This window comes from Homo sapiens, chromosome 16, assembly GCF_000001405.40.
Source record: "Homo sapiens chromosome 16, GRCh38.p14 Primary Assembly".
NCBI classification, from domain to species: domain Eukaryota; kingdom Metazoa; phylum Chordata; class Mammalia; order Primates; family Hominidae; genus Homo; species Homo sapiens.
In genome coordinates, this window is record NC_000016.10 from 30,222,433 (window position 1) to 30,248,479 (window position 26,047).

General features: G+C 46.9%; 1 protein-coding gene and 1 long non-coding RNA gene across 9 annotated transcripts in view; one reads left to right on the forward strand and one right to left on the reverse strand.

Annotated features, from left to right (window-relative positions):
• Positions 1-23,183, forward strand: part of LOC101929894 (uncharacterized) — a 36,477-nt gene extending 13,294 nt beyond the window's left edge. For both annotated transcript variants that reach the window (XR_002957884.2, XR_001752367.2), the window contains one exon: positions 22,786-23,183. This is a non-coding gene — a long non-coding RNA (uncharacterized LOC101929894). The remainder of the gene's footprint in view (positions 1-22,785) is intronic.
• NPIPB13 (nuclear pore complex interacting protein family, member B13) lies at positions 465-26,047 on the reverse strand. Of its 7 annotated transcripts, none has more exons than XM_047434417.1 (10): positions 17,679-22,790; positions 13,019-13,147; positions 9,316-9,415; positions 9,008-9,203; positions 4,877-4,937; positions 4,732-4,767; positions 2,781-3,371; positions 1,792-2,408; positions 1,512-1,658; positions 544-1,398 (listed from the first exon to the last, which is right to left on the reverse strand). In XM_047434417.1, the coding sequence occupies exons 1-10, from the start codon at positions 17,739-17,741 to the stop codon at positions 597-599; spliced, it is 2,742 nt and encodes a 913-aa protein (XP_047290373.1). In that variant the 5' UTR covers positions 17,742-22,790; the 3' UTR covers positions 544-596. The 7 variants fall into 7 exon arrangements, with proteins under 7 accessions (NP_001308821.1, NP_001382788.1, NP_001382790.1 ...); XM_047434416.1 differs by lacking the exon at positions 17,679-22,790 and adding an exon at positions 23,022-26,047 and having other exon boundaries at positions 545-1,398; NM_001321892.3 differs by lacking the exon at positions 17,679-22,790 and adding exons at positions 23,022-23,179; positions 23,422-23,519; positions 25,925-26,047 and having other exon boundaries at positions 465-3,371.

Here is a 26,047-nt window from a genome sequence, read left to right on the forward strand (position 1 = left end):
AAGAAACCTAATTATTCGATGTCTGGACGACAAGGAAGAAGATAGAAATGGCATCAGATAATAAACAGTGTAAATGTTTGTTTATCAGAAAGGGGCTGGTGGTCGGGACAAGTAGGAGGATCGCTTGAGTCCAGGAGTGCATCTCTACAAAAAAGTTAAAGGATTTTTTAACATTGGCCAGGCGTGGTGGCACACATCTGTGATCCCAGCTACTTGGGAGGCTGAGGCAGGAGGATTGCTTGAAGCCCAGGAGGTTGAGGCTGCAGTGAGCTGTGATCGAGCCACTGCACTCCAGCCTGGGTGACACAGCAAAATCCAGTCTCAAAAAAAATAATAATAATATTTTACATAACCAACCACTTCTAAAGATTAAAAAAAAACCCCTATGATTAAAAACCTCAGGTCCCTCAGGCAATCATACCAGATATCGAAACAAAGCAATAACATAAGGACTGCAGTATTTATTTTATTTTTATATTATTTATTTATTCTTTGTTAGTTTTTGGAGTGTGGGTTTTGTTTTGTTTTTTGAATTTTTTATTTTGTTCTACTCGGTTTTATTCTTATTGCTCAGGCTTGAGTGCACTGGCCTCTTCTCAGCTCAACCTCCGCCTCTTGGGTTCGGGTGATGATGGTTCCACGTCAGCGGCCCTCCGCCTCTTGGGTTTGCGTGACGGTTCCACGTCACCGACCCTCCGCCTCTTGGGTTCGGGTGATGATGGTTCCACGTCAGCGGCCCTCCGCCTCTTGGGTTTGCGTGACGGTTCCACATCACCGACCCTCCGCCTCTTGGGTTTGGGTGATGATGGTTCCACGTCAGCGGCCCTCCGCCTCTTGGGTTTGCGTGACGGTTCCACGTCACCGACCCTCCGCCTCTTGGGTTCGGGAGGTGGTTCCATCTCAGCCGCCCTCTGCCTCTTGGGTTTGCGTGGTTTTTCTGCCTCAGCCTCCTGAGTAGCTAAGGGAGGTGTCTTGAGATTATCATCGGCTGAGGGTGGAAGCGGCCCCCGCAGACGCTCGGCAGGTGTCTTGATATTATCATCTGCTGAGGGTGGAGCTGAGGGTGGAAGGGGAGTGAGCTGACGCTCAGAAGGTGTCTTGAGATTATCATCCGCTGAGGGTGGAAGCGGCCCCCGCAGACGCTCGGCAGGTGTCTTGATATTATCATCTGCTGAGGGTGGAGCTGAGGGTGGAAGGGGAGTGAGCTGACGCTCGGAAGGTGTCTTGAGATTATCATCCGCTGAGGGTGGAAGCGGCCCCCGCAGACGCTCGGCAGGTGTCTTGATATTATCATCTGCTGAGGGTGGAGCTGAGGGTGGAAGGGGAGTGAGCTGACGCTCGGAAGGTGTCTTGAGATTATCATCCGCTGAGGGTGGAAGCGGCCCCCGCAGACGCTCGGCAGGTGTCTTGATATTATCATCTGCTGAGGGTGGAGCTGAGGGTGGAAGGGGAGTGAGCTGACGCTCGGAAGGTGTCTTGAGATTATCATCCGCTGAGGGTGGAAGCGGCCCCCGCAGACGCTCGGCAGGTGTCTTGATATTATCATCTGCTGAGGGTGGAGCTGAGGGTGGAAGGGGAGTGAGCTGACGCTCGGAAGGTGTCTTGAGATTATCATCCGCTGAGGGTGGAAGCGGCCTCCGCAGACGCTCGGCAGGTGTCTTGATATTATCATCTGCTGAGGGTGGAGCTGAGGGTGGAAGGGGAGTGAGCTGACGCTCGGAAGGTGTCTTGAGATTATCATCCGCTGAGGGTGGAAGCGGCCCCCGCAGACGCTCCCCGCAGACGCTCGGCAGGTGTCTTGATATTATCATCTGCTGAGGGTGGAGCTGAGGGTGGAAGGGGAGTGAGCTGACGCTCGGAAGGTGTCTTGAGATTATCATCCGCTGAGGGTGGAAGCGGCCCCCGCAGACGCTCGGCAGGTGTCTTGATATTATCATCTGCTGAGGGTGGAGCTGAGGGTGGAAGGGGAGTGAGCTGACGCTCGGAAGGTGTCTTGAGATTATCATCCGCTGAGGGTGGAAGCGGCCCCCGCAGACGCTCGGCAGGTGTCTTGATATTATCATCTGCTGAGGGTGGAGCTGAGGGTGGAAGGGGAGTGAGCTGACGCTCGGAAGGTGTCTTGAGATTATCATCGGCTGATGGTGGAAGCGGAATCCGCAGACGCTCAGCAGGTATCTTGATATTATCATCTGCTGAGAGTGGAGCTGAGGGTGGAAGGGGAGTGAGCTGACGCTCGGAAGGTGTCTTGAGATTATCATCCGCTGAGGGTGGAAGGCAGGTGTCTTGATATTATCATCTGCTGAGGGTGGAGCTGAGGGTGGAAGGGGAGTGAGCTGACGCTCGGAAGGTGTCTTGAGATTATCATCCGCTGAGGGTGGAAGCGGCCCCCGCAGACGCTCGGCAGGTGTCTTGATATTATCATCTGCTGAGGGTGGAGCTGAGGGTGGAAGGGGAGTGAGCTGACGCTCGGAAGGTGTCTTGAGATTATCATCCGCTGAGGGTGGAAGCGGCCCCCGCAGACGCTCGGCAGGTGTCTTGATATTATCATCTGCTGAGGGTGGAGCTGAGGGTGGAAGGGGAGTGAGCTGACGCTCGGAAGGTGTCTTGAGATTATCATCCGCTGAGGGTGGAAGCGGCCCCCGCAGACGCTCGGCAGGTGTCTTGATATTATCATCTGCTGAGGGTGGAGCTGAGGGTGGAAGGGGAGTGAGCTGACGCTCGGAAGGTGTCTTGAGATTATCATCCGCTGAGGGTGGAAGCGGCCCCCGCAGACGCTCGGCAGGTGTCTTGATATTATCATCTGCTGAGGGTGGAGCTGAGGGTGGAAGGGGAGTGAGCTGACGCTCGGAAGGTGTCTTGAGATTATCATCCGCTGAGGGTGGAAGGGGATGGAGCAGACACTCGGCACGTGTCTTGAGATTATCATCCGCTGAGGGTGGAGCTGAGGGTGGAGCTGAGGGTGGAAGGGGAGTGAGCAGACACTCGGGAGGTGTCTTGAGATTATCATCCGCTGAGGGTGGAAGGGGAGTGAGCAGACACTCAGGAGGTGTCTTGAGATTATCATCCGCTGAGGGTGGAAGGGGAGTGAGCAGACACTCAGGAGGTGTCTTGAGATTATCATCCGCTGAGGGTGGAAGGGGAGTGAGCACACACTCGGGAGGTGTCTTGAGATTATCATCCGCTGAGGGTGGAAGGGGAGTGAGCACACACTCGGGAGGTGTCTTGAGGCTCAGGGAGTTATCAGTTATAGAATGTTGTTGAGTTGGAGGAGGTGGCTGGTGGCCCATCCTGTTTTTTAAAGTTTCAGCTGTGAGGTAGGGCCAGTAGGGCAATCCTGAAGAATGACGATGCTCCGCTGCCGCCATTCTGACCTGTAGGGCCAAAGGAGGGAATGTTTTCACACATATTCATTTGATGGACAAAATTACCGCCACCAACACAGTCTGCACCTTCTGTTGCTGGTGATAGATTTTTGCACCTTTCCATCCTCCAGGTTTCAAAATAGCAGTATCAGTGTCATAATATCACCCTTCCACTGAGTACTGCCGACAGCTGGAGGGTAAAGGAAAGTCATTGGGACACACTGTTGTCTCCACATGCCACTGTGTCTGTCTGCAAATGTAGGCAGGCTGGGGTCCTGCCCCAGGGAAGACAGAGTCATAACAGAGTAATAAAGAAGCATGTTTGAGACACAGGAGTGTCTATGTCTATCCTCATTCCTCCCTCACAGCCATCACCAGAGCATGTTTCTTGCACCAGGTCAACAGACAGTAAGAGACAGTAAGAGAGGCATGAAAAGCCCACTGTCCACACATGTTGCAGCTTCTTTTTGGAGAATGTTTTCCAGGCCTTTTATGTTCTGTCTCTGACTCTCAGAACTCTGCAAGGTCAGTGTGACCACCCTGCTCCAAATCTAAGAAAACAGAGGTTTCCAGAGGAAGGAGAAATTGTGCCCAGGGTCACACAGCTTGCAAGAGGCAGAGTGGAAGTTGATTCCAGCTCTGCCTGCAGGACCCTCTCATTTCCCCTCTGTTTCCCTTCTTGACAAAGGATCTTCTTCACTCTGGAGGTGCCACCCATGAGAACAAAGAGCTCTGGAGAGATGTGGATTCCTGAAGAGCTGCAGGGGAACTGGGAGAGGGTTTTCTGACAGAACAATCTCACCTCAAGAAGTCACTTAGGCACGGCTGTAATATTTCTTTTCACTCCCAGGTAATACCAAATTGTAAGTGCACTAGGACATAAAGAATACTTTTGTCCATGGAAAAATGAGGTGGGAATTCTAAACAAAGCAAGTTTTAAAACTGTGTTTCACTTCAAGTGTACAAGTCCCATCACGTGTAATCATAGGACTCGGCAGCTTTTGAAGGTACAGAGGCCACACAAGAACCAGCTTAGCTGAGCATCATTTAAGGCCTTCATTTGGAATTGTCCCTGTGGGTAATAAGTTACATTCACTCTTCACTAGTTTACAGTCAGGGCCCATCTGCTATTACAAATACGGAACCTCTGACACTTAGAATATTAGATCAGGGGCCCCACTGGGTGGGGATGAAGGTGTTTTTGCGCAACACGGTTACCAACAGGGATGGGACTGTGATGCTTGTAGGCAGCCTTTCTCTCTGCCATCTCCCTCTGCAGGGCTTGAGCACAGAGCTGTAGGGAGAAAAATGTATCCATGTCCTGACCTGGCAGACTATGTCCAAAAGCAAGGAAAACAAGCAAACTTACCCAGTTGCAAAGAGCCTTTCTTGCAGAAGGGGGGATCTGAAAAAGCCAACACATGAGAAATTGAATGTTGAGAGAGTCTAAGGGCCGTGGCATCATCTGCATCAGCACTGAACTATCCTGCAACTGCAGGGAGGAAGCTCCTTACTTTGCATTTGTGGTAGTCCTCTGCCCGCCGCCGCAACTCTTGCGCACGTTGAAACATTTTCCTATGGATTACAATCACTTTCATCAGATAAAGCACCACTTTCAGGATGATTTTAAATAATCTGCCATGTTTCTGTTATCCTCACAACTGTACCCTTACACAATCTATCTCTACCTAGAAAACGTATTTCAGATGGCTATAAGAGTACAGTCTGAGCCGGTCACGGTGGCTGACGCCTGTAATCCCAGCACTCTGGGAGGGCGGGGCAGATGGATCACGAGGTCAGGAGATTGAGACCATTGTGGCTAATATGGTGAAACCCCTTCTCTACTAAAAATACAAAAAATTAGCCAGGCGTGGTGGCAGGCACCTGTAATCCCAGCTACTCGGGAGGCTGAGGCAGGGGAATCACTTGAACCTGGGAGGCGGAGGTTGCAGTGAGCCAAGATCACGTCATTGCACTCCAGCCTGGGTGACACAGCGAGACTCCATCTCAGAAAAACAAAAACAAAAAAACTGTACAGTCTGATCCAAACTGTTGCTGTATTGATTCCTCCTCTTGCTTACTGCCTGCTGACTTCTGAGATGATAGTTTCCTTCCCCATTCTCAGTACATCCCTAATTCATCCTTCATTGAGCATCTTTTATCATAAAGCTGTATTCTCTTTGTATTAATATCCTTACCGTGTTTCACAGGGCAGAAACAGCTGGGCTTATAAACAGGCATAGTCCTTTTGAAGGATGTGGTTGATCCTACAACAACACACTTTCCTAAGGATGACAACAACTCACCCCACCCCTAGAATGGCTGGTATGAACCGAGTTTCCACACAGTCTAGCTGGCAATGGGGTCAGGAGACGTTTTGCTACTTCACATCTTTTGGTCACTGGTAAATATTAAGGTACTTTGTTTTCTGTTTTGTGAACTCTCTCTCGCTCTCTCTCACGATATGTCTTCTGACCGTTTGTTTCTATTTCTGCATTTACTGGGTCTAAATACTGTACAAAGGTTAAAAACAACACTCCAATGGGCGTTTCCCAGGAGGGTGGGGTTCAGTTTCTGAACTCACTTGTAGGTGTGTATTTCTTTCATATCCAATTTCCCATTTTCCTCTGCCTCTGATACCTGCCTCTCCTTTTCTGCATGCTCACATTCTTTCACGCTTAGTTTCCTCAGATTAGAAGGGAGAGAAATGCACACACATGATCCACCAGCCCGTGTGGGATTCCCTCTGCCCTTCTGGCATCTGAAGGCTGTGATTCAAAGATCCCCCCTGCAACCTTCCCACAAATGAACCAACTGATTCTCACAACCGAAGGGAGAATTGACACCTCCCATTGAGGGACAAAAAAAAGTCACACTCTGGCCTGCTGGCAAGTCACCTGTCATTTCCAGCTCATCTTCATAGTTCCATAGTTAGTCCTATTCTTTAGTAAATATAAAGACTATTAAAAGCTTCTATGAGGTGCACTATGTGTGTCTCTGGGGTCAGTCTTGTGCTTGACACAGCGAAAGCTCATTTTAGTTCAGTGTGAAAAACCAGACCTCACCAATTCATCACAACTAACTCCATCGGAAGCAGAGGATTGCTCCTCATCTGACTCCTCCTGTGTGAGACCTTATTCTCAGTCAGAGGCTGATGCCGGAACTGAGACCATCAGCCATAGAGAGATCCTTCCAGAATAACCCCGCAGTTCACTACTGCACTTTGCCATGATTCAGGACTGGAACTCTTGTCATCGACTTTAAAGATCCTGGTTGAGAGAAAAGGCAATCTGAATGCTGGGCGCATCTATTGAATTAGAAATGATCGGAATGGCTCCTAAGTCAGGGTGTTATGTCCTGAAAATAGGTGACAACGGCAAACCATCCACCCTGGTGTTGACTGACTTTAACAAGGTTCAGTTCACAGAGATTGAGGGCAGAAAAAGGAAACGGCCTAAAAAGGGTAAGTTTGCTGTGTTGCCCTCACTCCACTTGATTCATGGTCCTGATCCTAAGGATCTCACCTGATACTTGGTTTTATAGGAAGGATGTGTAAAATTCCCAGAACGCTAGGAAACAGGGGCGAAAACACTTCAAAGAGAAAGTTAATGAACTTGTTTCTGACCACAAGGCATCCTTCAGCACATGCTGTCTGGAGTGGCCTCAAACAAGGAGTGTGTGGTGTGGTGCTGAGAATGCAATGGGAGCAGGGTCCTGTCCCCACGCTAAAGAAGCTCACAGCTTAATGCAAATGAGAAGCCAGTGAGGACATCACTACTCCTGCTGTGCACTTGGGAACTAGAAACACAAAACCTGACTCTGGAGGGAAGCTAAGGAAGCATTCTACTCTTGAGTTGACATAAGTGCATCTGAAGCTTCTGATCTCCGATGAGAACAATGGGGGACACCAAACAGAATATAAAACCCATGATTGAATACATCAAATTGCTAACATGGCAGTAAACAGACATGAGGTGAAGATGGAGAAGAAGGAAACCCAGGACGAAAGTCAGCCTCGCATTTGGAACCCATTTCCCTGAGTTTCATTGCTGAATTCCAGAAGGAACTACTGAGATGCAAAGAAGCACAGCAGCTTTTGCACACATGCGTGGGATTAGATGGAAAACAAGTGGATTGAGGGTCTGCCAATGAAAGCGACCCGTACTGAAGTCCACTGGCTCTGGTTGAGACCCAGAAGAGTCATGCATCAGAATAAAGGTGGACAGGAAATACCCTGGCCTTTGTAGGGACTGAGCCTGCACCGACGACTTCAATTGCAGCCTGTATGGAGGACCCCTGACCATCCCCCAGAAGTAGACTCCCATCTCTTCTGCAGCAAGATAACATGCTACTAGGCCTCAATTCATTGCTAAACATTTTTTAACAAGTATCTCACATTTAACAAAAAAAGATCAGTCATATGGCAGCAAAATACAATGTCATATGACCAAAACATGAAAGACTGTGAAAATGAATCTGGAGGTGACCCAAGCATTGAATTCAACAATCCAGGCTGGGTGCGGTGGCTCACACTGGGAGGCTGAGGTAGGCAGATCACCTGAGGTCAGGAGTTCAAGACTAGCCTGGCCAACATGGTGAACCCGTCTCTACTAAAAATACAAAAATTGGGCCGGGCACGGTGGCTCACGCCTGTAATCCCAGCACATTGGGAGGCCGAGGTGTGCGGATCATGATGTCAGGAGTTCTAGACCAGCTTGGCCAATATGGTGAAACCCCGCCTCTACTAAAAATACAAAAATTATCCGGGCATGGTGGCATATGCCTGTAGTCCCAGCTACTCAAGAGGCTGAGGGATAAGAATCGCTTGAACCTGGGAGGTGGAGGTTGCAGTGAGCCAAGATCATGCCACTGCACTCTAGCCTGGGTGACAGAGTGAGACTCTGTCTCAAAAAAAAAAAAAAAAAAAAAAATTGGTCAAATGTGGTGGCACACACCTGTAATCCAAGCTACTCGGGAAGCTGAGGCAGAATTGCTTCAAACTGGGAGGCAGAGGTTGCAGTGAGCCAAGATTGCACCATAGCACTCCAGCCTGGGCGACAGAGCGAGACTCTATCTCAAAATTAAAAAAAAAAAAAAAAAAAAAAAAGGCTGGCTGTGGTGGCTCACGCCTCTAATCCCAGCACTTTGGGAGGCTGAGGCAGGTGGATTACCTGAGGTCAGAAGTTCGAGACCAGCCTGGACAACATGGTGAAACCCCATCTCTAGTAAAAATACAAAAATTAGCTGGGCGTGGTGGTGGGCACCTGTAATCCCAGCTACTTGGGAGGCTGACGCAGGAGAATTGCTTGAACCCAAAAGGCAGTGAGCTGAGATTGTGCCATTGCACTACAGCCTGGGCAACAACAGCAAAGCTCCATCTCAGGAAAAAAAAAAAAAAAAAAAAGAGAAAGGAAAACCAATGCCAGTACTAGCAACTCCTCTTCCTCCGAAAAAATGAAAACAAGAATGTAGGAAGGGAAAGGAATTATACAGCTTAAACTAATGAAGCAGAAAGGACAAACTCAATTTTGAACCCACTGAATTTGCCACAAATATTGTAGAAAATATTCTCAAGGACTTTACAGTTGTCTACTTTGATTGGCACATGGTTCATACAACAGTATTTGTGTCAAGGCACATCTTACTGTTTTCTGGCGGTCTTCCTCTTTCCATTGATTTTGTCATGATGGTTGATTTTCGTTGTCACCTTCCTCTTACGGATTTTAGCTCTAACTTTTGTTTCCACATGTCTCCGTAGAGTAATGACGTCTTTCAGGCCAATTTTATTTCCTCGAAAGGAAGAAACTCTTTTCTTTGTGTGCATACAAATGGACCTCAGCCCTTGGTGAGAGTGAGGAGAGGAGAAGGTGAGAAACCTGAGGGCAAGAAGCTGTTCTTTCCCTTTCCAGGGCAAACTCATTTCCACACTATGCGGATTCCAACAGAGCCATACCTTCCTGTCTACGGCGGTTGGACCTCCAGGCTCTCTGCTGTACATCCGTGGATCCATCATGTCCATTTCGAGACCAGAAGATAGTCTTCAGGAGAGACACCTAGGAAATAATAATATAAGAATGACGGCTGGGCACGGTGGCTCATGCGTATAATCCCAGTACTTCGGGAGGCTGAGGCAGGTGGATCACGGGGTCAGGAGTTCAAGACCAGCCTGGCCAAGATGGTGAAACCCCGTCTCTACTAAAAATACAAAAATTAGCCGGGCATGGCAGCGGGCGCCTGTAATCCAAGCTACTCGGGAGGCTGAGGCAGAGAACCGTTTGAAGCTGGGAGGCGGAGGTTGCAGTGAGCCGAGATCACACCACTGCACTCCAGCCTGAGCGACAGAATGAGACTCTGTCACATACACACACACACACACAAGAATGACATGAGGCTGGCACGGTGGCTCACTCCTGTAATCCCAGCACTTTGGGAGGCCGAGGCAGGCGGATCACCTGAGGTCGGGAGTTTGAGACCAGCCTCACCAACATGGAGAAACGCTGTCTCTGCTAAAAATGCAAAATTAGCCAGGCATGGTGGTGCATGCCTGTAATCCCAGCTAGTCGGGAGGCTGAGGCAGGAGAATCACTTGAACCCAGCAGGAAAAGCTTGTGGTGAGCTGAGATTGTGCCATTGCACTCCAACCTGGGCAACAAAATTGAAACTCTTGTCTCAAAAAAAAAAAAAAAAAATAGGCCAGATGCGGTAGCTCACGCCTGTAATCCCAGCACTTTGGGAGGCCGAGGCAGGTGAATCACAAGGTCAAGAGATGGAGACCATCCTGGGCAACATGGTGAAACCCCGTCTCTACTAAAAATACAAAAATTAGCTGAGCATGGTGATGCACGCCTGTAGTCCCAGCTACTCGGGAGGCTGAGGCAGGAGAACTGCTTGAACCCAGGAGGCAGAGGTTGCAGTGAGCCAAGATCCCACCACTGCACTCCAGCCTGGTGACAGAGTGAGAATCCGTCTCAAAAAAAAAAAAAAAAAAAATGACATGAATATACTTCACACAACTGAACTGTACACTTCAACACGGTTAGATGGTAATTATCATCTTATAAGTATTTTACCACAGGTTAACATGTTTCACAACTTGAAAAGGAAGTAATTACCTTCAGCTCTCTGAGTTCTAGAATTTGTAACATTTCATCCCCTGCTCCTTCCTGATCTGCACTGGAGCATCTTCCTTCTGTCCCTGCTCTACTCAGAGTTCACTTTCCCTTCCCTCACATCAGCTTCATTGAGGCTGGTTTGAACTTAACGCAAAACATTCTCACTAATGACTGAATTCCCACCAAGATTTCCATATTATCACAGTATGCTTTTAATCTTCTAAGATATTAAATATTTCTTCTCATCATAGCTAAAATGCAATGCAAATCCCATCTCAGATGTGGGTCAGATACCTATGAATCTCCTGAGGTGGTCATTGAAATGACTTTTTCTTGAGACAGAGTGTCACTCTCAACCATGCTGAAGTGCAGTGGCGCTACCTTGGCTCACGGCAACCTCCACCTCCCAGATTCAAGCGATTCTTGTGCCTCAGCCTCCCAAGTAGCTGGGATTACAGGTGCCTGCTACCATGCCTGGCTAATTTTTGTCTTTTTAGTAGAGATGGGGTTTCACCATGTTGGCCCATCTGGTCTTGAACTCCTGACCTCAAATGATCCATCTGCTTCAGCCTCCCAAAGTGCTGGGATTACAGGCATGAGCCACCACACCTGGCCTGAAATAATATCTTTCAAATTCTTTGTAGAATTTGTTTTTTCCTGATTTCTGCACATAGGATAAAAAAAAAATCATGTACTAGGATTTCGAGAGAAGCAATGGGTAATCTAAAAAGATGAAAAGAGCAACCACGTCAATCCCACAGCTACTGCTAGATTTCATAGGAAAGGTAGCTGGCCCAGTTTGGAGCTAGGGGAAATGTCAAACACATGAAGAAATGAGAAGCCAAGAAATGCCATCACGCATGAATGCTTCATGGCACCCATGATGTCCCTGCTTAGGAGGTAATGGTATAGATGACTAGATGACAAGGACAAAGATGAGAGGTGCGAAGTTGTCCAAGTCCAACAGCTCAACTGAACTTTCCTAAGTGGAATTGTTAAAAAGTGGTAAATTTAAAAACTTCCCCTGGCTCACGTGGTGGCTCACGCTTGTAATCCCAGCACTTTGGGAGGCTGAGGTGGGTGGATCATTTGAGGTCGGGTTTTGAGACTAGCCTGGCCAACATGGTAAAACCCCGACTCTACTAAAAATACAAAAATTAGCTGGGCATGGTGGTGGGCACCTGTAATCCCAGCTACTTGAGAGGCTGAGGCAGGGGAATCACTTGAAGCCAGGAGGTGGAGGTTGCAGTGAGCCGAGGTCACACCATTATACTCCAGCCTGGGCAACAGAAGGAGACTCGTCTTCGGGGTGAGAAAAGAAAAAAAAAAAAGAAAAAAGCTTCCTCCAATTTATACCGAAAATTCTCTGTTCAGGACTAAGTGGCATAGAGAATGTTAAATGTGCCTAGATATCTTCATAACTCATATATTTTCTGTTTTCTACATATCTTGAAAGGCAGTGCCAAATGACGTGTAATTATCTAGGTGGTAAAACTGAAACATACTTCCTCTTCCCTTGAATATAAAAAAGCATTGTGGTATTAGTACTTTTATCTTGGATCATTGTTCAGAAGGAGGTTCAGCCCCCAGACAACCACATTTTTACTGTCATGAATGGCAAGACAAAATGTAGAGCTCAACTTACCCAAAGGAAAAAAGGCTCAAAAGACAAATTATGGCACAACTTAGCAGCCAAATTCTTACCAAGTACAGACTTTTGACATACTGATCTCTCTCCAGTTCCAAGTCGGAACATGCACTTTGAATGATGTCATTCAAAATTACCCTGCCCAGACACACTTTTCATTGATTCTCTTGGAGGGCAGTTCTAAGAGTCTCTGGGGCTTTCTCTGCATCATGAGACGCAGTGCAGTTCTGCCCTTCACCTTCCGGCAGTTTGTCACCTCGTCCCTATGACCTCACAGGAACTTTGTCTCAGGCCAATTGTTTGTTCCTTGGCCTCTTTCATTTCCCCTAAAAATCATTTGCTGCCCCTCTAAATGGCCTACATCTCCATCTATCTCCCTCTCCCCTCAGAAGAGGGTGCTCTTTAAGCATCAGCCATCCGGCCCTTCTAGCAGTCTCATTTTTCAGCTGGTTCCCATGTTTATGCCTGTTCTATGTTTTTCTTTTCCTGTTAAGCTGTCTGTTGTCAGCTCATTTCTGCAGTGAATCTTCAGAGAGGAGATTGGAAGCTTTCCTTCCACCCATACGATAGAACTATAAAGCAGAAGAGTTTAGAAAGAATTTCCTATTTAAGTGACGAAACCTCATACTCCATTTGTGATAAATAGCACAAAGGTTAAAAAAACTTATTTTTGACCAAAAGCTCTGTTGACATTCTATTAAACAAACACCGACCTATTTAATTTTCATAATGCAAATGGCAGATGTTTTCATAATTCTTATACTAATAAATCATTTCCCTGATTTTTTGGGTAAAACCACATATTCATAATGAAGTCCAGAAATGTGAATTGTTTTATATAATTTATTCTTATTTGTGATTACAAGTATACCTCTACAGAAAGTTAGTATACTCACCCAAAGGTAAACTATCCAGAGGGTAATGACAACTTTATAACTTGTCGGAAACGCAATAATGACATGTAACCAAGGACTTCCACCAAAGTCAGTCCCACGATGATGATGGTCAGCCAGAGTATTGATAACCTGGAATAATAATAGTTGAAATAATGAAAAGGTCAATGACACTGACAATATTTCACTCAGAAAGAATCATCCTTAGAAACCGTCAACCTCCTCCAAAAGGTAACCACATCCCTCAGATATCACCGTGGGATTCCACTGCTACAAAAAAGAACAGAAGTTAGAAGTCACATGTTTTTCAGATGGCTGGTAGTGTTTTCAGGCATTGCAAATGTGGGGTGTTGTCTTTCTTGGTATAAAGCAGGGATATCCAATCTTTTGACTTCCCTGCCTATATTAAAAGAAGCAAAGTTGTCTTGAGCCACACATAACATACACTAACACTAACAATAGCTGATGATCTAAAAAAAACCTCTTTTTTTTTTTTGAGACAGAGTTCCGCTCCACTCAGTCGCCCAGGCTGGAGTGCAGTGGTGCAATCTCGGCTCACTGCAACCTCCAGCTCCTGGGCTCAAGCCATTCTCCTGCCTCAGCCTCCCGAGTAGCTGAGATTACAGGTCTCTGCCACCATGCCCGACTCATTTTTGTATTTTTAGTAGAGATGAGGTTTCACCATGTTGGCCAGTCTGGCCTTGAACTCCTGACAGGCGATCTGCCTGCCTCGGCCTCCCAAAGTGCTGGGATTACAGGTGTGAGCCACCGTGCCCAGCCATTTTTTTGTTTTTGTTTTTGTTTGTTATTTTTGAGATGGGGTCTCACTCTGTCACCCAGGCTGGAGTGCAGTGGTGTGCTCCCGGCTCACTGCAACCTCTGCCTCTCAGGTTCAAGTGATTCTCCTGCCTCAGCCTCCTGAGTAGCTGGGAGTACAGGTGCCTGACAGTGCACTCAGCAAATTTTTGTATTTTTTGTGGAGATGGGGTTTTGCCATGTTGGTCAGGGTGGTCTCGAACTCCTGACCTCAGGTAATCTGCCCGCCTCAGCCTCCCAAAGTGCTGGGATTACACGCATGAGCCACTGTACCTGGCCAAAATCTCCTAATGTTTTAAGAAAGTTTACAAATTTGTGTTGAACTGCATTCAAAACTGTCCTGGGCCACATGCAGCCCGTCACTCATGGGTAAGACAAGCTAAGTATAAAGTAATTATCTTATCTTTTCTTTTCTTTTTGTTTTGAGACAAAGTTTTGCTCTGTCACCCAGGCTAGATTGCAGTGGCATGATCTCAACTCACTGCAACCTCCGCCTCCCGGGTTCAAGCGATTCTCCTGCCTCAGCTACTGAGTAACTGGGATTACAGGCGCCTGCCACCACGCTCGGCTAATTTTTGTATTTTTAGTAGAAACAGGGTTTCACCATCTTGGCCAGGCTGGTCTCCAACTCCTGACCTCATGATCCACCTGCCTTGGCCTCCCAAAGTGCTGGGAATACAGGTGTGAGCCACTGCACCTGGCCAGTAGTTATCTTTTCTTTAAAGTTATTTACTTGTTTTTTAAATTGATGTATAACATTGGATGCATTTATTATATATCACATGGTAAAAGAATCCCTCTAAATAATACTTCTCTCTTGGATTATATGAATCTTTGTCATTTAAATCTCAGCATAAGTAAAAAAAAAAAAAAATACAATGAAGAGATTACTTCATTCACAAATAAGTATCAAATTTTAGTGCTTAAAAATTAACAAGGTGGGCTGGGCGTGGTGGCTCACGCCTGCAATCCCAGCACTTTGGGAAGCCGAGGTGGGTGGACCACGAGATCAGGAGATTGAGACCATCCTAGCTAACACGGTGAAACCCGTCTCTACTAAAAATACAAAAAATTAGCAGGGCATGGTGGCACGTGCCTATAGTTCCAGCTACTTGGGAGGCTGAGGCAGAAGAATCACTTGAACCCGGGAGGCAGAGGTTGCAGTGAGCCGAGATCGCACCACTGCACTTCAGCCTGGGTGACAGAGCGAGACTCTGTCTCAAAAAAAAAAAAAAAAAAAATTACCAAGGTGGAGATCATGAAAATGGCATGAATAGTGTGGGATTTCTCTAAGATTGTTGATATTAATTCCATTAGACTCTTATGTGAGTGAAGACGAAGACTTCCCCTGAGTAAGTTCAGACAGCTTGTGATAACATTTCTACGTCGATTCCTCAGGATTTAACTATATATTCTTGAAAACATCTCAATTTTAAATGTTTCTTTCAAGATGGTGAATTAAACAGAGATAGCCCTTCAACAGGTTGAACTCAGCATATGCTGAGTCTGAAATGGAAATGATGAAGTTAGAGAACCATACAACAATGGTAATGATTTCAGAAACATGGTGTTGAGCAGAACAAAGCAGACACAAAAGAGTACCTATGGCATGGCATGCATCTGTATACGCGAAATTCCAGAATAAGCAAGCTAACCTATGATAAGAAAGAGACTGGCTGGGAAGACTGAGAGTTCACTTTCTGGGGTGACATAATAGTGTAGATCTTGGCTGGGCACGGTGGTTCACGCCTGTAATCCCAACGCTTTGGGAGGCCGAGGCGGGCGGATCACCTGAGGTCGGGAGTTCAAAACCAGCCTGACCAACATGGAGAAACCCTATCTCTACTAAAAATACAAAATTAGCTGGGAGTGGTGCCACATGTCTGTAATCCCAGCCACCCGGGAGGCTGAGGCAGGAGAATCGCTCGAACCTGGGAAGCAGAGGTTGCGGTGAGCTGATATTGCCCCATTGCACTCCAGCCTGGGCAACAAGGGAGAAACTGTCTCAAAATAAATAAATAAATAAATAAATAAATAAATAAAATAATGTAGATCTTGAAAGGGGGTTGGTTTATGCTGGTGTATGTACTTTCCAAAGTTAGTAAACTTACACTTAAGGTTATATATTTTGGCCAGGCGCGGTGGCTCACGCCTGTAATCCCAGCACTGGGAGGCTGAGGCAGGCAGATCACGAGGTCAAGAGATGGAGACTATCCTGGCGAACATGGTGAAACCCCGTCTCTACTAAAAATACAAAAAATTAGCCGGGCGTAGTGGCGGGCGCCTGTAGTCCCAGCTACTTGGGAGGCTGAGGCAGGAGAATGGCGTGAACCCGGGAGGCGGAGCTTGCAGTGAGCCGAGGTCCCGCCACTGCACTCCAGCCTGGGCGACAGAGCGAGACTCCGTCTCAAAAAAAAAAAAAAAAAAAAAAAAAAAAAAAAAAAAAAAATTAGCCAGGCGTGGTGGTCTACTAAAAATACAAAAATTAGCCAGGCGTTGTAATCTGAGCTACTCAGGAGGCTGAGGCAGGACAATTGCTTGAACCCCAGAAGCGGAGGTTGCAGTGAGCCGAGATCTTGCCACTGCACTCCAGCCTGGGCGACAGAGTGAGACTCTGTCTAAAAAAAAAAAAAAAAAAAAAAAAGTCATCAAACCAGATGACACAAATCAAATGACATTTCACTTTGTTTTGGTCCATTTTCTTTGTTAAAAACAAGAGTGCAGCGGGGCCATCTCGGCTCACTGCAACGTCCAGCTCCTGGGCCCAAGCGATCCTCCCACCTCAGCCTCTCCAGTAACTGGGATAACAGGTACGCACCACCAGGCCCGACTAATCTTTATTGGAATTTTTTGTAGAGATGGGGTTTCGCTATGATGCCCTGGCTAGTCTTCAACTCCTGGACTCAAGTGATCTGCCCACCTCGGCCCCCTAAAGTGCTGGGATTACAGGCCTGAGCTGTGTAATTTCATGCCACGTGATACAGCCCAGTAAAAAGGAAGAAACCCCACGGGTCCAGCGTCTACTCACAGAGATGCACTGATGGCTGATAAATTCCAGTAGGAGCCCAAAGAGGAGCCAAAAGAGCATCCACCGCACCCGCATGTCCTGGTCCTTTCAGGGCGCCCTGAGGCGGCCAGGACAGAGGTGGAGGTGGCTTAGGGCAGGGGGGAGGGAAGGGGACGGGACCGGGGCCGGATCTGAGTTGGGGAGGGGGAGGGGAGGGGGAGGGGAAGGGGAGGGGAAGGGGGGAAGTAAGGGAAGGGAAAGGAGGAGAAGGGGGCTGTTGGGCACCTGGAGGAGGTGGAGGAGGAGGAGGAGAAGAAGAAAGGGGTCTGGGAAAGGATCCGGTTCAAATTAAGTTCTCAAGCGCTGGTGGAAGGTTTAGCTACAGGTCACGGAGAAGATCAGGGAAGCAACAGGACACGCGGGGCAAGGGAGCGTGAGGCTTAGGAGCAATCAGAGGGAGACAAAAAGGTTCTGCTATCCACCAAACCTTCTTCGGTCTGGGCCCTCCCTTACCAACCCTGGGGCTTTATACTCCCTCTCCACCAATCCCTGATGACCCCGGTGGTGCCTCACAATGGACAGTGCCTCACAATGGACAATGCCAAGTAGCGCCCGCATCATTCCAATGACCCCTCCCCCATCTCAGTCTCCCACACTCCTCCCAAAGACAGGTCCTCTCTGGAACCTTCACAAACCTGATTTCTGGTCCTCCCCAACCAGCTCCCTGTCCCTGCTTCTGGGCGCTCCTTCCTTCCTGAGCTCCCAGGGTTCCTCAAGGTCACTTATGGCGACAAAACATAAAAAACAAATGATGGCAGGATGGCAGGAAGAACCTCATACCCAAGCAGAGTGCCAGGTTTTACAGCCTCCGCTCAGCCATTCATATCCTAAGCAACAAAACATCAGCAGGGTGCGGAAGGTCCCGATAGTAAACCATCTCCATCACATCCATGTAGCCATCCGTCCATCAACCTGTATCTCAGGAACAAATGTAGATACATTCATTTTAAGCATGCCTGGTACATTTACAAAAATTAACCTGACTTATTTTGTTCCAGCAAATCTCAATATATTTGAGAGCAATCAAATCACACAGCATGTTTCTGATCATATAACTGTGCTAGAAGTCAATGATTAAAAGCTAATTCAAAATTATTATTTGCTTGGAAATTCAAAGTGCCCTTATAAGACATAAACATAAGAAAGAATCCAAAATGAAACAAGATTGCCTTTCAACTCAATGATGAGATCATAACATGGCAATAAAATGTCTCCCTCTGGCCTGGGAATTCCTCTTTGTGGCACAAGGTTGTGTGATCTCAAATCACCGCTAACCCACCTAGACATTTTAACATCCGAAACCGAGTGATGACGTCCTTATCTATATCATCTTACTGCCTGTGTGTGTGGACTTTAAATTCTGAACCCAAATGAGGGGGAGAAAACCAAGTTGACTTTCATGACTGAGCTCTCAGGGACGTCCAAGGAATCTGTGCATTTCAAGAAACAAAGTTCATCAGCTTCTCTCCTAAGGTATTTGCCCACAATACCCAGAGGGCTTGGCAGCATCATGTGTGATGGGTGGGGAGCTCCAAGCAGGTGGGCAGGACCCAGGGGCCTGGTGACCAGGACAGACCCCCACTGTCCATCAACTTTCCTGGCCCTGTCCTCTGCTAAACTTCCCACAGGCCTTCTGCCCGATCACACAGAGTATGCCCAAACTCTCTCAGGCCTCTGGCAGCTGAAAACCACTGCTTTAAATCCCTTTACCATTTACTATGACATAAGGTTATTGTAAACAGGAAATATTCTATTGATGCTACAAATGGAAAGCCAATGCCTTTACCATAAATAGAAAAACAACCCTAAGAAGCAAGCAAAACAAAAACAAAACAGGGGCTGGGTGTGGTGGCTCACGCCTGTAATCCCAGCACTTTGGGAGGCCGAGGTGGGCGGATCACAAGGTCAGGAGTTCCAGACCAGCCTGGCCAATATGGTGAAACCCTGTCTCTAATAAAATACAAAAATTAGCCGGGTGTGGTGGTGGGCGCCTGTAGTCCCACCTACTTGGGAGGCTGAGGCAGGAGAATAGTTTGAACCCGGGAGGCAGAGTCTGCAGTGAGCCGAGATTGCACCACTGCACTCCAGCCTAGGCGACAGAGCGAGACTCTGTCTCAAAAACAGCAACAACTACAAACAAACAAAAAACAGGGTTAACAAAAGTATGGAATTCAATTCTTTTTATATGCTGCAGCCATGTTCCTGCCCTAGATTTGGCTGGGCATGGTGGCTCACGCCTGTAATCCCAGCACTTTGGGAGGCTGAGGCAGGCGGATCACGAGGTTAGGAGTTGGAGACCAGCCTGACCAACATGGTGAAACCCCATCTCTACTAAAAATACAAAAATTAGCCAGGCATGGTGGCACACGCCTGTAATCCCAGCTACTCAGGAGGCTGAGGCAGGACAATCCCTTGGACCCGGGAGGCGGAGGTTGCAGTGAGCCGAGATTGTACCATTGCACTCCAGCCTGGGTGACAGAATGGAATGAGACTCTGTCTCAAAAAAAAAAAAAAAAAAAAGCAGCCCTAGATTTCGGTTGTGGTGGTTGTAAAAGGAGAGACCAAGTAAGTGGGGGTTGAAGTCAGATTAGAGCAAAAGTGAATGGCAGAGAGTACTATAATGTCCATGAAGGGCTGCTAGAGTCACCGTGATCATAGCCCAAGCAGAGATAGGGAAAGGAAGATGTGAGCAGAGTTTGGGGTCTCGAACAATGGAGGTTATTCGTGCAGCCCAGGAAAGGCTCCCCAAAGCCAGGATCAACCTCCCTTGGAGGCGGTCCCTCATGGAGGCATGGTCAGGCACCTTAGATTTGAGAACAGCTATGTTGCTGCTGACCAGCTGTGTGACCCTGGGCTGGTTTCCTTCCACACAATGGGAGTGCCAATGGCTGCATGCATGCAAAGACCGTCTGAGGATAGGAGGAAGCAATCTGTTGAGCACCCGTGTACCTGAGTGTCATCACCTCCCAAGGGCATCCTTCGTTCCAGAGCTGGCGCCTTGGAAGGCCCTTGGTCACTGAAGGCAGTGATGATGGTAACAGCAGTAAATCATCATTTACGGCTGATGAGGGAAGGCCAGGGGTAGGGCTCCTAGGTCCTGGATAAGAATGAGGGTCTGGGCACTCCTGGGGACAGCTGAGTGGTAGGACTCCTGGGTCCCCAGGGGGAAGGTCCATCTTCAGTGGCATTGGGCCTAGGCTGGGATGCTGAGTTATCCACTGGAGCATCAGCAGTACAGGCAGGCACAGAGGCAGTGGATCCATCGGAGGTGGCAGGTGTAGGATCGTCTGGTGAGCAAGTAGAGTCACCAAATCTGGCTGACCACTACCCCCACTACCCCCACTATCCCCACAGACGATGCCCTGTCCCTTGCCTCATGCTCCGGCAGGGTACAGGCTCGCACCTGGGGCCTCAAGGAGCATCTCTCTAAGACCTCTGTGTCCTGGTCATTGAATGGGCACTTGAGTCACCCAGGGCCATTGGAACAAAGAGGAAGAATCAGGCCCCACGATGTTTTGGGAGAGTGTTTAGCACAGGAAAATGCGCAGAATACATGCACGACACGGGGGCACTGTCAGTGTGGGAGCAATGGTTTACAACCTCCAGCCCTAATCTGAGCACTCTCACCTGTGCAATCTGAAAGGAACAGGAGACTTGCAGGAAAGACAGTGCCTGGATTTAACTTAAAGGAACTAAAAATGTTGGAATTTTTACTCTTGATATCCTTCCAAATCAACTCTCTCAATGTTCCCATCCTCAAAACTATCATATGGGGTAACTGAGGCAGTCAGAGATTTACTGACTCAATGTCACTCAATTGATTCTGAGTTCACTGCTGATTACATCCGACCAAACTGCTTTTTCTGAAGTCTACTCCGTTTAATCATGCTGGTGATGATTTTGTGCGGCTCTGGGACAAACTCCACCTGGCTGAAGATAAAGCAAATCTGCGGTGACTTAGTCCTCCTGTCATTTCCCATCAGTTCCCCACTCTCCTCCTCTGCCCCTCCACAGTCTCCCATGCAGGCTGACACCATATGACGGCCTTAATGGAGTCCACCGAGTATTTCAGGTTCTCTCCTGGGCCACTTGAAAGTGGATGTACCCATGGGATTTGCTTTGACCCAGGAGATGTGAGTGGAAGTGAAGCGTGTCACCTCGAGGCAAAAGAGTTGGGAGCCATTGAGACGGGCCACTCTCTCCTTCATCTCTTAGAGCAGCTGACAGCTCCCATATGGAGGCTGCTCCTTTATTCTCGTGGCAGGATGAGGGCATGTGGGGCACAGGGCACAGGAGAGCCATGGAGGATGTGCAGCATGGGCAGGAAAAGAGCCTTCAGTGGTGTACATTTCCATAGTTTGGGGCTGTTTCTTACCTACAGTGATACCTAGCCCATCCTAGCAGGCATGCACCATCTACTCCACACTCTGTGATGCAGACTAGCCTGCCGTCAGAACACGAACTGGTGGTCAGACACAGGTAGGTTTCAGTTCCAGCTCTGCCTCTTATTGACTGCAACCTCAGGCTTAACTTTCAGTCTCTGAGCCTCAGTTTCAACTCTGTAAAATGAGGTGGCTATACCATCTCAGGTTGCAGAGAGAATTAAATGAAATATAAGTGCATGTAGAGCATTGAACCCAGGGCCTGGCACACACAGTGAGTACACAATGTTAGCCAGGTAGCTTCATAATGCATACTGATTGTCAATATTCAGACAATGCAGTAAAGTGTTACCAAAAATAAAAGTAAACTTATTTGCATATGTATTCTTTCAATCTTTATTTTTAAACAGGGTAAAACTATGCATATTCTTTCATAGCCAGTGTTTTTCTCTTCATAGTATATTGTTAAAATAATTTTACTTGGACCGGGTGCAGCGGCTCACACCTAAAGTCCCAGCACTTTGGGAGGCCGCGGTGGGCAGATCACGAGGTCAGGAGTTGACACGAGCCTGGCCAATATGGTGAAACCCCATCTCTACTAAGAATACAAAAATTAGCTGGGCATGGTGGCACACACCTGTAGTCCCAGCTACTCAGAGGCTGAGGCAGAGGAATTGCTTGAACCCGGGAGACGGAGGTTGCAGTGAGCCAAGATTGTGCCATTGCACTCCAGCCTGGGGGACAGAGTGAAACTCTGTCTCAAAAAATATATGTGTGTGTGTGTGTGTGTGTGTGTGTGTGTGTGTGTGTGTGTGTGTGTGTGTGTATCTATATAAATCTCAAAAATAAAAGATCATTTTTGAGATTATCATTTTAAAAGACAAGATAATGTTCAACTTAATGACTAATTTAATTATTACTATTGGACTTTTTGTAGACTAAACAGAGCATTCAAAACAAATGAAGGAGAATAAAAAATATGTATTACATGTTGTAAAATAAATGTGATGTGGTTAACTCTTTTATTCAAAGTTATAGAACATATATATGTACTATAGAATGTATTTCTTATTATGAGTCATGTTAAAAAGTAGTTTAGAAGCTGTTGATTTGAATTTCCTTTTCAAATTTTGCAGGATAATTTTTTTTTTTTTTTGACAGAGTCTCGCTCTGTCGCACAGTCTGGAGTGCAATGGCGTGATCTCGGCCCACTAAAACCCCCACCTCCTGAATCTAAGCAATTCTCCTGTCTCAGCCTCCTGAGTAGCTGGGACTACAGGCTCACACCACCATGCCCGGCTAATTTTTGTATTTTTAGTAGGGACGAGGTTTTGCCATATTGGTCAGGCTGGTCTCGAAGTCCTGGCCTCAGGTGATCCACCAGCCTCAGCCTCCCAAAATGCTGGGATTACAGGCATGAGTCACCATGCCCAGCCTAAACTTGGCAAGATAATAAATCACCTTTTTAAGTGTCGTTGGGCACTTGTCTGGTTGTTTTTCTTTAGGTTACCATGCCAGCAATGATTCCTTTTGAGTTTCTGACAGAAGATAGTGGTTTTCATCCAAATAAGTCAACTACTCTACCCCATCCCTAAGCCACTTGTATGGAAAGAAAAAGAGGAAGAAGCCAGTACTGTGACTGCGTAAGCTTCCCCCAGCATCACCCGCTATGAGATGTGTGGCAGCTGAGACCCGGGAACTGCTCAAGGGCACCAGGCCCCATCTGTCTGCACTCACTCACCTTCCTCAGGTACTCGCATGGGCATGTCACTGACTTTACATGCTGCTGCAGCTCCTTGGTGAGCTGGCCCTGGTCATGGGACAGGAACTGTGGGGTCAGGACAATAGAGAGCTTCACCATTTGCAGAATGAGAACAGGGGCTCATGATGAGTGCCAACCTATTAGATAATTTAAAAAAAAAAGTGTTGAATGAGTGGAAAAACAAGGTGATGTTTGAGTCTATAGTGGTCAAGGGCTTCAGAAAAGGACAGAACCAAGTTCAAATTCCTGTACTTTGAATTTCTACTTCATGCCATGCAAAATTACTTTACCCCTTTTAACCTCAGTTTTCTTCTGTGTGAAACAGGAACAATAGTTTCATTCGTCATTCAGTTTCTCTCAAGGTTTCACGAGATCATACCTATAAAACATCCAAGTCATTTAAATGTATCATCATTTCTGTCATAATTAGTGGGATCCATTTCACTATTATTGGATATACAGTTCTGTGCCTGAAACCTACAAAAAAAGAAAATGTTAAGTCTAAAAAGCATTAGTGATTTCTCATTTTTATATTACTAATTATAACCCTATTTAATCACACAAGGCCTTGTCCGTGGCAGGTGCTCAATAAACACTTGTCGAATCAATGCATGTGGGCTCCGGAGCCACACTGTTTAGATTCTATTCTGCCTCCACCACTTATCAGCTGTGTGATCTGGGTAAGATAATTCACCTCTTTATGTCTGCACTTCCCTCTCCATAAACTATATATAATGAGAATCCTTAGCTCATTCGGTTGTGGTGAGGGGTGAATGATTTGGCACACAGGAGGGGCTTGTTAACATTAGCTGTGATGATCTCCTTCCAAATCTTCATTTTCAGAGCCACAGATGAGGCCACAGTGCAACCAGGTGACCTTAGAGTGTAAGTACACATGATTGCCAGCTATGCTCTATCTCCACCATAGGTCCAAGACTGGGTAGTTCTGGCCTGGAGGTTTCTGCTACATCTGCCTTCTCAGTGTTCACCTAAGGACTTTTGTATTTTCCTCCTCGCATCCCCACAGATGGGGTTCAGGCTGCCGGACACAGCTGGGTGATGCCAGGGCAGTGGTCACCTGTGCCAGCCCCGTGAGGTAGCTGGAGGATCATTGTTCCTTCCTTCTCGGGCTCTGGGCAGATGCCAGGGCTGGGGTGACCCATGCCCTCAAGTTTCTTGCTTTGGTGGGCCACATTTTCCCTTGGCAAAGAGGGTAAAGGTCACAGGATGCCAGAGAGCTGTGACTTCTCTGTGCCCTGGGCCCAAACTATGAAGACCTGACACACTATGCTAAAAGTCCAAGGCTGGGTGCTCCCCAGAGCTTCTTGCCTCACCGCTTCTGCTGAGGGAGGAATGAATACTATGTCCTCCCAGAGCTTTGGGAGCTTGTAGCAAGCAGCCTCCCCAGCGCAAAATCTCTTGGAAACCTCTAACTGTGTCTGAAACATTAGTGCAAATGTTGCATCCTATTTCCCATATGTCCGCATGTTTTAGAAAAAAATCCTCAATTTCCTAAATATGCAAGAAAAATCGGTATTGTAGGACAATGTGACTTTTTAAAAAATGTTATTTAAAAATCTTCCCCACCTCCTTTTCTGCCCTCCAAGACTGCCAAATACTTGTTGAACATATATTATTAAATGCCTACTACATGCCAGCCATGATTCATGGTCTTGGGGACACAGCAGAGAACGAACTGACAGGACTCCTCTCTTATGTAACTCACATTCTTATATGATAATGATAAGGGTTAACATTAATTAAGCTGTCACTGCATGTTAGTCACGGTGCAGTCATTCCCACACATTATTACACTTAAACCTGCCAGCAAGCTTGCAAGGTAGTTGTTTTTCCTTTAAAAACTGAGTCTCGGAATGATGAAGCACTCTGTCCAATGTCACACAGCTAGTAAGTGTGGAGACCTTGCATCCAATCAATGCCCGTCTCATTCTAAAGGCCATGTTATGTGTTCTCCAGCCCATGGAGAATAATTTTAACACAGTCAATGAAATTTCTACACAACAATGTTCTTGTCTCAAGTCCAAGAATGCCTCCTACACCTCCTATAATACTGGCTTTCTGGTGAGTAAAGATGCCATTCTCATGTGTAATCAGGTGGCAAATGGAGATATGACCAAAGTAACCATCTGCCTACACTCATAACCCTGTACACACTCTTCCTGTGTCGATTCAATTCAAGTACCCCTTTTGATCACTTAGCAAATCTGACCTTTAAAAGGGTTAGGGTTTTTATATCCATGTAAGTTTCTGTATTGCTTTGGAAGTCTCTGGTTAAATTAATACTCTTTTAATAGTGACCTGTGATTCTGTTTTGATCAAGTGTTTTCAAACTTGACGTCTTTGATGGGTTTCTCCAGTGTCAAAATCCTAAATCAAGTCTTTTTGGCTTAAAACTAACTTTGGGATTTTTTTCAGCTGCATCCCTTGGGGAGTCTAAAGAATGTATCTCTCATCTTGTAGAGGTATTAAGTGATTCGATTTATTTGGTAGATTAAATGGGCAGGCATTGTCAAATGTGGCGATACTGCATGGGAGGGCACTGTCAAGTGAGGTGACATTAGATCTCATCTCAGTTATATTTATGGGTATGTTGTTGATATGCGTGTTCCAAAAATTGCATACATTTATACAAATTTAATATGATTTGTAATTTTGATAGTTATGCTAAATATTTGCTAAAGTTATATTTGTATAAACATGTCACGAATGGCTGGGCACCGTCACTCATGCCTGTAATCCCAGCACTTTGGGAGACAAAGGCACGTGGATCACCTGAGGTCGGGAGTTCCAGACCAGCCTAATAGAGTGAAACCCTGTCTCCACTAAAAATACAAAAATTAGCCATGCCTGGTGGCACATGCCTGTAATCTCAGCTACTCGGGAGGCTGAGACAGGAGAACTGCTTGAACCCAGGATGCGGAGGTTGTAGTGAGCCGAGATCATGCCACTGCACTCCCGCCTGGGTGACAAAGGTAGAATCTATC